The sequence below is a fragment of the Homo sapiens genome, chromosome 19, assembly GCF_000001405.40.
Source record: "Homo sapiens chromosome 19, GRCh38.p14 Primary Assembly".
Classification (NCBI taxonomy): Eukaryota; Metazoa; Chordata; class Mammalia; order Primates; family Hominidae; genus Homo; species Homo sapiens.
In genome coordinates, this window is record NC_000019.10 from 45,782,724 (window position 1) to 45,793,792 (window position 11,069).

At 57.3% G+C, this 11,069-nt stretch overlaps 1 protein-coding gene across 1 annotated transcript, besides 3 other annotated features; it reads right to left on the reverse strand.

Annotated features, from left to right (window-relative positions):
• Positions 224–10,122, reverse strand: DMWD (DM1 locus, WD repeat containing). Its single transcript, NM_004943.2, has 5 exons — positions 9,593–10,122; positions 8,182–8,364; positions 2,871–4,148; positions 1,918–1,992; positions 224–1,567 (listed from the first exon to the last, which is right to left on the reverse strand). The coding sequence occupies exons 1-5, from the start codon at positions 10,031–10,033 to the stop codon at positions 1,520–1,522; spliced, it is 2,025 nt and encodes a 674-aa protein (NP_004934.1). The 5' UTR covers positions 10,034–10,122; the 3' UTR covers positions 224–1,519.
• Positions 8,493–8,552: an enhancer, noted in NCBI's record as "active region_14821". NCBI's record gives its function as "activates an Ori minimal core promoter by ATAC-STARR-seq in GM12878 lymphoblastoid cells {active_cell/tissue: GM12878}" and the evidence as "EXISTENCE:reporter gene assay evidence [ECO:0000049][PMID:35858748]".
• Positions 8,573–8,622: an enhancer, noted in NCBI's record as "active region_14822". NCBI's record gives its function as "activates an Ori minimal core promoter by ATAC-STARR-seq in GM12878 lymphoblastoid cells {active_cell/tissue: GM12878}" and the evidence as "EXISTENCE:reporter gene assay evidence [ECO:0000049][PMID:35858748]".
• Positions 9,771–10,250: a silencer, noted in NCBI's record as "silent region_10799". NCBI's record gives its function as "represses an Ori minimal core promoter by ATAC-STARR-seq in GM12878 lymphoblastoid cells {active_cell/tissue: GM12878}" and the evidence as "EXISTENCE:reporter gene assay evidence [ECO:0000049][PMID:35858748]".

Here is an 11,069-nt window from a genome sequence, read left to right on the forward strand (position 1 = left end):
TGAATTTCAAGAAGAACCTGCCCATTGCTGAAACAGGGCCAATTGAGGCTGAGTGACCCAGTAGCAACCACCCCCTTGCTCCCGACAAGCTCCAGAACTGGGGGCTAGGGGGTGAGGGCTGGGGGTTGGGGCTGGGTGGGAGAAAGGGGTTGAGGCCTGGGAAGGGGACGGGAGGCCAGGGCAGCTTCTTGGGTGACTCAGAGATGGATTCCGACTCGGACAGTTAAATTTAGCCCTCAGGCTCTCTGCTTTATACCAGCTTTTTTTTTTTTTTTTTTTTTTTTTCCCAGGAGGTGGGGAAGGGGTGGTGAGGACAGGACCAGGAGGGGGCACCCTCAGAGCCTGAACAGGGGTGACCTGCTGCCCAAAGGCTGGGGGAGGAAAGTGGTGGAGCCAAGCCCTCCCTGGGCAAACGAGACCCCAAAATAGCTCCTTGGCCCCTGGCCGGGGAGCCACATTCCTGCCCAGGCTGGGATTAGAAACAGAAACATTTCGGGGGGTGGAGGGTGGCGCGGGAAGACACACTCCCTGCGGCTCCGAGAGCCAAGAGGAATCTGAGCTCTTCTTTCCAGGGTGGACGGTTCTCCAGAGTGGAAGTCGGGGCCTCCAACCGGCCTGGGGTGCCTGGGCCTTGAGAGGGCCAGGCCTGAGAAACTAGGAGGCAAGGACCGAGGAGTCCCAGCTGGGCAGGGCCTGGGAAACGTGGTCCTGGGCAGTTCTGATAATTTAAAAAACACCGAGGACTTTGATGAGGGGCCCTGGCTGCGGGCAGGATGCTCTTCTCCCCAAGAGGGTCCTGCTCCAGCCGCTGGTGTGGGTCACCAGTTGTGTGACTCGCAGGTCCGTTCCCTCCCTGGGCTCCGGCTTTTCCTGCTATGAAAAGGGGTGGGAGGCGCTGGGCTGGGAGCAGGCCTGCACTCCTCCTCTGGGGAAAGCGGACTGCCTAGAACCACAGAGTACACACACAGGTCCTCTACATCATCTCCTCCGAAGGGGACAGACCCGCTGAGAAAACAGGGAACTTTAGTATAAATAAGAGGTCCTGCGGGACAGGGAGGAACCTGAGGGGCTTCCATAATTTAACACTCTTCAAAAGCACAGACAATAGCAAGGGCAGCTGGGGTGGGGGCCGGGCGAGGGCTGGACCACCCCCGGCCCTGCCCACTCAACTGAGGGGCACACTGCAGACCTGGGGCTCTTGTGGCAGGGGCGGGGAGTCTCTCCCCAGGAGTGACCAGTCACATGCTGGGGACAGGGATGAGGGTAACACTGATGTTTCAGAGGAAGAGGTCATTGTACTTGGCAGTGGGTGGGGGACAAGGCTGAGGCCACAAGGGCTATTACATCGCCCGTGTCCGGGCCAGTCTGGGGGGCCCCCAAATTTTGTGCAGGTGGGGGGACTGGAGCAGTCCATCCATCATGGTTAGTCTTGTTAATACGTTGATCTGTGAGGTCAGCAGGGAGGGTTATGGCTAGGAGGCTGGGGGCATGGGGTTGGGGGGGCCCGATATCCATGGCTTCACACCACTGTGCCACTCGGGGAGTTGCCTGGTTGGGAGGAGATGCCCTGGGGAAGATGAGAGGGAGAGATGGGAGGGGTTAGAGACCACCTGGGCTTCAGCCAGTGTCAAGGGGAGGGAGCCAGCCCAGAGTCCCCAAAGCTGCTGCCACCCTGGCCTTGCCCTTGGGTCCGCCCTAGACCCCCCAGAGGCCACTGCTCTAGGCTGGGAACTTGCATCTTAGCTAGCTTCCTGTCCTGGCAGTCAGCACTTTCACGCAATAATCAAAGTCCTTGGCGGATCCTGAGTGAGACCATGGGGTAAGGGTAAGGGTGGGAGGGGAGGGGGAAACTGGAGCTCCCTTCTAACTTGGGAGGGACCCTGAGGTGCTGGGGAAAGAACTCAGGGACAGTCCTACCTCTACCACTGACTTGCTGGGTGACCTGGGCCAACTTCCTTCCCCTGTCTGGGCCTCGGTCTCCTCGTCTGTGAACTACGGAGACAGAGGGGTCTCTTTTAGGACTCAACCAGACTCCCCAAATCCCACCACTCTTGCCTCTGAGTCACTCAGACTGTGCTCTCAAGTTCTAGGGACTCAGGACTCTACGATTCCAAAACTGAGGATCTGAGGAACCAAGCCACGGCCTCCAGGACCCTGGGCAACTGAGTCCAAGCCCTAAGAAGCTGAGACACCCAAGACGAGCTCCGAACTTACAAGATGCCAGGCCTGATTCGCCTACTATGACCTTCCCAACGCCACAGCCCACCCAGGAGGCAAGCACATCCACCCACTGCCCATCCTACAGGCTCTGTTCTAAGAGGTGATGAGTTGGAGGTCAGAGGGGGCAGTGACTTGTCCAGGGTCACAGAGGGAGTGGGACTGGAACCCAGGCCTGGGATTCCCAGCCTGTGCCTTCAGCAGGAGGCTCAGATCCTGAGTCCCAGACCCAGGCTGGCAGCCATGCCCACAGGCTTGAGCTCGCCCCTAGTTTTGGCCTGAAGTACTCAAAAAAGTTTCACGATTTAAAAAACAGATGTTCAACAGAAATAGATTCTGGTTCGAGTGACAGGCAGTAAGACCTGGCCATGTGGGGCCCATCTGCTGCCCTTCAGACGGCCAGCCTTGGATGCCCCAATTCCTAGCTGGCTCTCACACCCACCCCTCTTTCTGCTGCCTGCTGCCTAGGGCTAGACCCCCTCACTCTAAGGATCTGAGAGGTCTTGTACTGAGACACTAAGATTTCCCTGGCTTCCCCTCACCCCACGGAGCCAGAGGCTGTGACAGCAACAAAGCCCTCTCTCTGCCAATGCCTGCCTCTTCCCACGAAAGGTCCTGCCAGGTCCCCGGCAGGCTGGTGTGGGGCCACTCACCGCCTTGCCCGGCCGGGCCCAGGTGCAGATGAGGCCCTCCTGGCAGGCAGTGATGATGCAGTCCTCCAGGAACAGGAGGACTGTGAGCCGCTCCTGGGCGATCTTCTTGCACACAAGGGGCTCCAGCAGGGGCACCTCGTGGATGCGCGGGCACAGCGCAGTGCCCAGCACCTTGGCGGGGTCCAGGCGGCTGCGGGGAACAGGGCCGCTGGGCTTCTCCCCACCACTGCCACTGCCGCCACTGCCACCCCGGCTGATGTTGCCCAGGCTGTGGTAGCGCTTGTGCTCCTTCTCTGCCCCCCGGTCCCGCCGCTCCTGCAGTGTGAGCGTGGCGAAGCGGCCAATGCTGAATGGTGTGCCAGGCTCTGCCGCCACACCCGGGCCGCCCGCCTTGCCCCCGCCAGCTGGGTGCGGGAGACTGTTGGAGCGGGACAGCGAGCGAGGCAGGGGGCCTGGGCCAGGCTCGCCACCCCTCGAGCTGCTGGCGGCCGGTGGCGTGGTGCCAGGTGTGCCAGGGAGGGTGCGGGTGCGGGCCAGGGGGGGGTGCGGGTAGAGCACGTCTTCAGTGAGGTCCCACAGGCAGAACTGCGTGTCCTGGCCCGCCGAGCCAAAGCGGTAAGTAATGGAGCCAGCCTTGGGCAGTGGAGAGAGCGGGGCGCCCCCGGCCGAGCCTGTGCCCGCAGCCTCGGGCTCCTCCTCCTCCTCTTCGCCGCTCCGCTCCCCATCAGCACCGGCTGCTGTCGCCGCCTCCTCTGCCCTTGTGGTGTAGGGGTCAAAGGCCACAGCGTTGACCCAGGACTTGTGGCCATGGCCTCGAGCCACCACGCGGCCCTCGGTGAAGGACCACACGGTGACCAGGTCATCTTCGCCACCCGTCACCACGTAGCGGCCGTCAGGGCTCCAGCACACACACAGCAGGCCCCCAAAGTAGCTCTTCATGAGCCCACGCAGGAGCATGGAGTCGAAGTGGAAGACGCGCAGGCAGCCATCCTGGCTCACACAGGCCAGGTGCCGGCCATCGGGCGAGAAGGCGAACTCGTTGAGGGGCCCCTCACCCACCGCCCACTTGGCCAGCGGGTTGCGGGGTGCCTTGCTCTTGGCAGCATAGACAGAGAAGCCCTCGCCCTGCTTCAGCAGGCTGTACTGGGGCGGGGCCGAGGCGCAGGGGTGGCTGACGTTGTACAGGTACAGGTGGCCACTGGCGTGTGATGCCAGGAACAGGCTCTCCGACTCAGGCAGCCACTTCAGATATGTCACCTTGGTCTTGTCGATCAACCGCTGCCAGGGGAGACAGTGTGGGGTTGGGAGAAGGCAGTAAAACCCAGGCAGAACTTCTCCCCGACCCAAAGTCCCCAAGAAGGCCGTTGGACATGGCCCCGCTCACACAGCAGGTGCCACACCAGGCCCAGGTCCTCCTCGGAGAGAAGCTCCCAAACTGGGGAAGACAGATGGACACCAGGTCATGGAAACATGGGGAAACAGAGGCTGCTGCAAGGTGGCCACAGGGTGCTCCAAGGAGCCTCGATGTCCCATCTTTGGCGAGGGGACAGTCCTGCTTGCCACAGAATTGTCCTGTATCTCGGGGTCCTCAACCTCCGGGCCATGGAACAGTAGTGGTCCGTGGCCTGTTAGGAACCAGGCCATGCAGCAGGAGGTGAGTGGTGGGCGAGCAGGCATTACAGCCTGAGCCCAGCCTCCTACCGGAGCAGCGCACCATTCAATCCTCGTAAGAGTGCGAACCCCACCATGAACTATGCATGCGAGGGATCTAGGTGTGCGCTCCTTATTAGAATCTAACACCTGATGATCAGAGGCAGAACGGTTTCATCCCAAAACCATCCCCCCAACAGTCTGTGGAAAAACTGTCTTCCATAAGACCAGTCCCTGGTGCCAAAATGGTTGGGGACCACTGTATCTGTCTAACCCTCCCCCGATCTTTACTACGTCAGGCTTCAAGTAGGAAATTTCTTCACGGAAAGGCAGCTCCCCAAAGGAAGCGATCTTTGTTTGGTTCACTATTCTTTAAAGCAGTGCACACAGGAGGCAGCTTGAAGGTAATTCCTGGACAAATGAGTGACAACCCCCCATCCCGCTAGGTGCTTAGACAAAAAACCTCGGCATCTGCCCCTCTTTTCCTCATCCAATCCTTCCACAAATCCTGTGGGCTCGACCTTCAAAATACACCCAGAAGTGGCTGGGCGTGGTGGCTCACGCCTGTAATCCCAGCACTTTGGGAGGCTGAGGCAGGCGGATCACAAAGTCAGGAGTTCCAGACCAGCCTAGCCAATATGGTGAAATACAAGTAGAGATACAAAATCTCTACTAAAAATACAAAAATTAGCCAGGCATGGTGGCGGGCGCCTATAGTCCCAGCTACTCAGGAGGCTGAGGCAGAATTGCTTGAACCCGGGAGGCGGAGGTTGCAGTGAGGGGAGATCATGCCACTGTACTCCAGCCTGGGCGACAGAGCGAGACTCCACCTCAAAATAAAAAAAAAAGAAAAAATACACCCAGAATCTGACCTCCTCTCACCATCCCATTCAACCACCCCAAGCCTGCAATGCTGTGTGACTGGCCTCAGGCTCCAATGCCTGGGCCTGTCTGTCCTCTGCAGCCGCCACAGCGATGCTCTGTGAAGTATCAGCCAGCACCTGGCACTGTCCTGCTCTGAACACTTCGCAGCCTCTCTCAAGCAGGGTTCCAGAGCCTGAGGCCCTAATGCTCTCAGGCAGCCAGTGTATGCAACTAAGGAGCTGCTCTCCCAGGATGAGGTGCCTCCCATCCCTGGGAGAACTGAACAAATAATCACTCTAGTCACTTCTGCCTTCCAGGGCTCAGGTGAGCCCCAATGAGAAAGGCTCCTCCACAGGCTTCCAACTAAGAGTAAGGCAAAATCTCTCCGTGACCTTCCAGACTCTCCATGAGCCAGCCCCTCCGTTATTTCTTGGAACTCATCTACCATCTTCTCTCCCTCAGTAACTGCACTGGCCACACGGCTTCTGTGCAATCCTGCATTTGTCCTAGCTGGCCCCGATACTCAGAATGTCCTTCTTGGCTGGGTGTGATGGCTCACGCCTATAATCCCAGCGCTTTGGGAGGCCAAAGCAGGAGAATAGCTTGAGCCCAGGAGTTCGAGACCAGCTTGGGCAACACAAAGAGACCCCGCCTCTACAAAAAATACAAAAGTTAGCCAGTTGTGGTGGTGCATGCATGTAGTCCCAGCTACTCAGGAGGCTGATATGGGAGGACTGCTTGAGCCTGGGAGGCGGAGGTTGCAGTGAACGAAGATCGTACCACTGCACTCCAGCATGGACGACAGAGTGAGACCCTATCTCAGGAAAAAAAAAAAAAAAAATGCCCTTCCCCAGGCAACTCTTCTCACCTGCCTCCTTCAGGTCTTTATTTCAGTATCACCTCTTAGTGAGGGCTTTCCTGACCACCCTACTAAACTCTCCAAGCTTCCCTCAGCCCCTTCCCCACTGCTTCTTCTAAACAGGCCTTAATCACCTGCTGACACACGAAGACTTAACTTGATTAACTGTCTGTCTCCCCAGCTAGACTGAAAGCTCCAAAAGGGCAGGGCCTCCTGTCCAGGGCCCTGAGATGTGATATCCCTAGTGCTGGGAACGGTGCCTGGCACAGAACGGATGCTCAAAAACTATTTGTGAATGGATGAGCTAATGAATTTTTAATCCACTGACTGTTCCGTTCACTCCCTTCAGCCATTCACTCATTCTGAGAATATTTATGGAACACCTCCTCTGGACCAGAGAGAATGAGACAGAAGCCAAGAGCAGTCCCTGCCCGCGGATAAGGTCGTTTACTGGTATCTCCTCGTAGGCCAAGTTGGCCCAGGACTGAGCAATCTCCATGTATGATTCTACAACAGCGGTCCTGCAAGGTAGGAACTGGAATCCCATTTTGCAGAGGAGGAGAAGTGAGGCTCAGAGAATGGTCACCTTCCCAAAGTCACATGATGAGTAAATGGTGCAGCAGGGCTTTGAATCCAAAGCCTCCAGAGCCCAGAACTCAAAGAGCAAGGGCATCAACTAAGTCCCGACTTATTTACTAGCCTCAATTCTCTAATCTGCAAAATGGGCAGCACACTTCTGTATCCACTGGTTGATGAAAACTCAAAGAATGGCCGGGCGCGGTGGCTCATGCCTGTAATCCCAGCACTTCGGGAGGCCGAGGTGGGCGGATCACAAGGTCAGGTGTTTGAGACCAGCCTGGCCAACATGGTGAAACCCCATCTCTACCAAAAATACAAAAATTGGCCGGGTGTGGTGGCTCACGCCTTTAATTCCAGCACTTTGGGAGGCCGAGGCGGGCAGATCACGAGGTCAGGAGATCGAGACTATCCTGACTAACACGGTGAAATCCCGTCTCTACTAAAAATACAAAAAAATTAGCTGGGCGTGGTGCTGGGCGCCTGTAGTCCCAGCTGCTGGGGAGGCTGAGACAGAAGAATGGCGTGAACCCGGGAGGCAGAGGTTGCAGTGAGCCGAGATCGCGCCACTGCACTCCAGCCTGGGCGACAGAGCGAGACTCCATCTCAAAAAAAAAAATTAGCCAGGTATGATAGTGCGCACCTGTAGTCCCAGCTACTCAGGAGGCTGAGGCAGGAGAATTGCTTGAACCTGGGAGGCGGAGGTTGCAGTGACCCGAGATTGTACCACTGCACTCCAGCCTGGGCGACAGAGTGAGACTCCGCCTTAAAAAGAAAAAAAAAATTAAAAACAATAAAAATTACAATTACAATTAAAAAAAAAAAAAAGAACCGGGCATGGTGGCTCACACCTGTAATCCCACCACTTTGGGAGGCCGAGGTGGGCAGATCACGAGGTCAGGAGATCGAGACCATCCTGACTAACACGGTGAAACCCCATCTCCACTAAAACTACAATAAATTAGGCGGGCGTGGCAGCAGGTGCCTGAAGTCCCAGCTACTCAGGAGGCTGAGGCAGGAGAATGGCATGAACCCGGGAGGTGGATCTTGCAGTGAGCAGAGATCGCGCCACTGCACTCCAGCCTGGGTGACAGGGTGAGACTCCATCTCAAAATAAATAAATAAAAGAAAGAAAGAAAGAAAGAAAACCCAAGGAGTAAAGTATTCAGCACAAGGGTAACACAGCACAGGGCCTGGGTACAGTAAAGGCAGCTGTCATTAGCTGCTGTCACCCCATTCTCCATCTCTCCCTGGTCCTGCCCCTCTCAGGCCTACACTGTTCCGCAGGCAGCTGCATCCTAATGGCATATAGTGGGTAGGTGAGAAGGCAGAGAAGTTGGGGGCTCTGGGGGCTGCAATCACCTCCTCATTGAACAGCTTGCTGGTGTCCTTTTTGATGAGATCCAGGTACTGCACTTGACCCGCTGAGAAGCCCACCAGCAGCGAGATGGTCTCGGTGGCAGCAGTGAACTGGTTGAAATCGTGGCAGGTGGGCTGGGTGCCCTTGTAGATCCGCTTGTCAATTGGCTTGTTGAGGTCAATGGACTTGAGGGGTGGGAGAAAAGGAGTTAATGGTGTATGCCACTGAGGAGAAGGAAGAGGATGTTGAGGTTGGGGGAAACCACTAAGAGGAAGCAGGGTTAGAACCCAGAGGGAAGTGGGGAGGTGAGTAGGTGGATTGCGAAGGACGGGGCAACCACAGACGGGAAGGGGACCCAAATCACAGACAAGAGTAGCAAAAAAGATGGTAAGGATCCCCCTTGACCACAGTGCCTCCCCAAAGTTGGGTCACCTCTAATTCAGAGACACCCTTGTCCACATAATCAGGGTTCTGGGTCCACACAGTTCCTAAGCTCCGATTCCTTTTAGCCTCACCACTCCATCCTATAACCTCAGCAACTCCCTTGGGACCTAGTACCACACTATTCCAAGACCCCCAAACCTTGAGGTCACCCAAATTTCCAGGACTCTAAAGCCTAACATCCTAGCATTCTCTTCACTTTGTAGTCCCTAAACCGCCACAGTTCTGGGACCCGTCAAACCTCACGGTCTCCCACATTTTAGGCCCATTTATTACCTAGGGGCTCCGAAGGATCCCCATCATTTCTGGGATCACCATAAACGGCCAGGGTTCTCACCACATCGCTTTAGAGATGTCCTGAATCACACCTGCAGATTCCCCTGCCAGGGCCTCTCATTCCCTTGAGAGCTCCCATCAGCTTCCGGACGCTCATCTCCTCCAGGACCCTCATGACTTCCAGACCCCAATTTTCTCTAGAATCCCATTCAGCTTCTGGATCCCCTATCACCTTCAAGGCCCCCATCACTTCTAGACTTCTCCTCATTCCTGGGCTCAATCTCAAGACCCCTCTCCCACACCTCCAGGCTGCAATACTGGGTTCTCCATCACCTCTGGGCTTGCATCACCTCATGATTCCCCATTACCTGCAGAATGCCTGCCACCCCAGAACCCGGGGGATCCCACCTCATCTCAGATACCCCATCATGTCCAATAGTCACCATCCCAGAACTCCTACGCATAACGGGGGTAAAGGGGATTTCCCCCATCACCTCCAAGATGCCTGCCCAGCACCCCGCGGGCCTCTCATCACATTTCAGAATCCTGTACTCCCTCCAATGCTGTCGCCCTACAACGTCCATCACATTTAGAATGCCTATCTCAGGGCCCCATATCAATTCGGGGACCCTCCTATCAGTTCTCTGGAACCTCCATCCTTTCAGCACCCAGGGCCCCACGATGCAGGCCGCTCACCCGTTGGCTCCCACGACGACAGCAGCCTGGGTAGAAATAGAGCTCACGGCCCAAGTTGAAGCAGACGCGGTCTCCCCCCGAGCCCAGCCCCGCGGGCGTGGCGGGCGGCTCCCCGGCCCCGGCGCTGTCCGGCTCCCCGAGGCGCACGAGGCTGAGGCGCACGGCGGGCAGGGCGGGCCCGGGTCCGGGGCCTGCGGGCGGCGGGGACGACGCGGGGCCTGCAGCGCCGGGACCGGAGGCGGAGGCAGGGCCGGGCGGGGGCTGCGGTGGCTGAGGCGGCACCGGAGTCTGGGCGGAAGCCGGACCCGACCTGCGAGCGGCGCCGTCGCCCGGGAGTAGCTTGTAGAAACCCTCGCGCGTGCGGAATTGCGACTTAATCTCCGCGCAGTCCCCCATGGCGGCGCCGGGGCCCGAGCCGCCCTCCGCGCCGCCCGCCGCCATCTTGGGCGCCCCCCGGGCCCCGCCACTGCCGGACTGCCGCCCGCAGCCGGGCCCCCTCCCGGAAGCCGCTGGCCCGCGCCGGAAAAGGTGGGGTCGTCGCCCGGGCAACGCCTCTTCGATTGGCACCCAGATCCGGAGGCGGGACGAATCCCCGCGGTCGCTCGGGTAACGGTGCTGGGACTGTGGGCGGGGCGAGAAGGTGGGCGCGGCCTTTGAGCCTGTGACCGACTTGTGGTTGGCTGCGGGGGCGGAGCCCGCAATGGAAAGAGGCGTGGCCAGTTAGAAAGCTCAAGTCCTTAGCAACCGCGCCCTGGGAACGTTTGCCTAGCAACGGAGGGATTTTTTTTTTTTTTTCCCCCACGACAAAGAAGCCCTCATCCATAGTCCAGCCTTCCCATGAAGTCACAGCCAACCCCAAGTGACCCTGGTCTCTCCTTAGACGCCCAATATACACTCCCCTGACCTCCAGTGTTTCCCACTGACATATTCAAATCCCTGAATGACCACAGCATCTGCTACCATTCTTCCCCACCCTTGGTGACCCACCAAATCCCTGTGTCCCCACACAACTCAGAGGACTTCCTCTGACCCACTATTGATTAATGCTAACTCCAAACATCCTTCATATTTTCCACCAACCTCCAATGTATATTTCCATGATTTTCTTATTTTCAACAACCTCACTTGTCCTCCAAAACCTACCTCTGATTCCCAAATTGTATTGATCCCCACGGTGCCCCAGTGTCCCAGTGATCCACTCGTAACCCAAAGTCTCCCCCTGATCCCAACAGCTCCTACTCATAGCCAGTGCTCCCCATGTCTGCTGAAGCCACCCAGCCCCATCATAGATCTTTCTAGTCTCATGTAGTCAATGGCCTCTACGATTTCTCCCTAGAGTGTCCCAAGGGCATCTCACACTTAAAAAAAAAAATCCTACAATGGTTCGGGCATGGTGGCTCATGCCTGGAATCCGAGAATCCCAGCACTTTGGGAGGCTGAGGTGGGAGGATCGTTTGAGCCCAGGAGATCAAGACTG

Excerpts from the sequence above, each read along its gene's own strand:
- DMWD (NM_004943.2), bottom strand. The coding sequence starts at position 10,033 with ATGGCGGCGGGCGGCGCGGAGGGCGGCTCGGGCCCCGGCGCCGCCATG. Across the intron at positions 8,365-9,592 it reads GTCGTCGTGGGAGCCAACGG|TCCATTGACCTCAACAAGCC; the intron begins GTGAGCGGCCTG and ends CCACCCCTCAAG. Across the intron at positions 1,993-2,870 it reads GGGCCCGGCCGGGCAAGGCG|TTCACAGACGAGGAGACCGA; the intron begins GTGAGTGGCCCC and ends CTGTCTCCGTAG.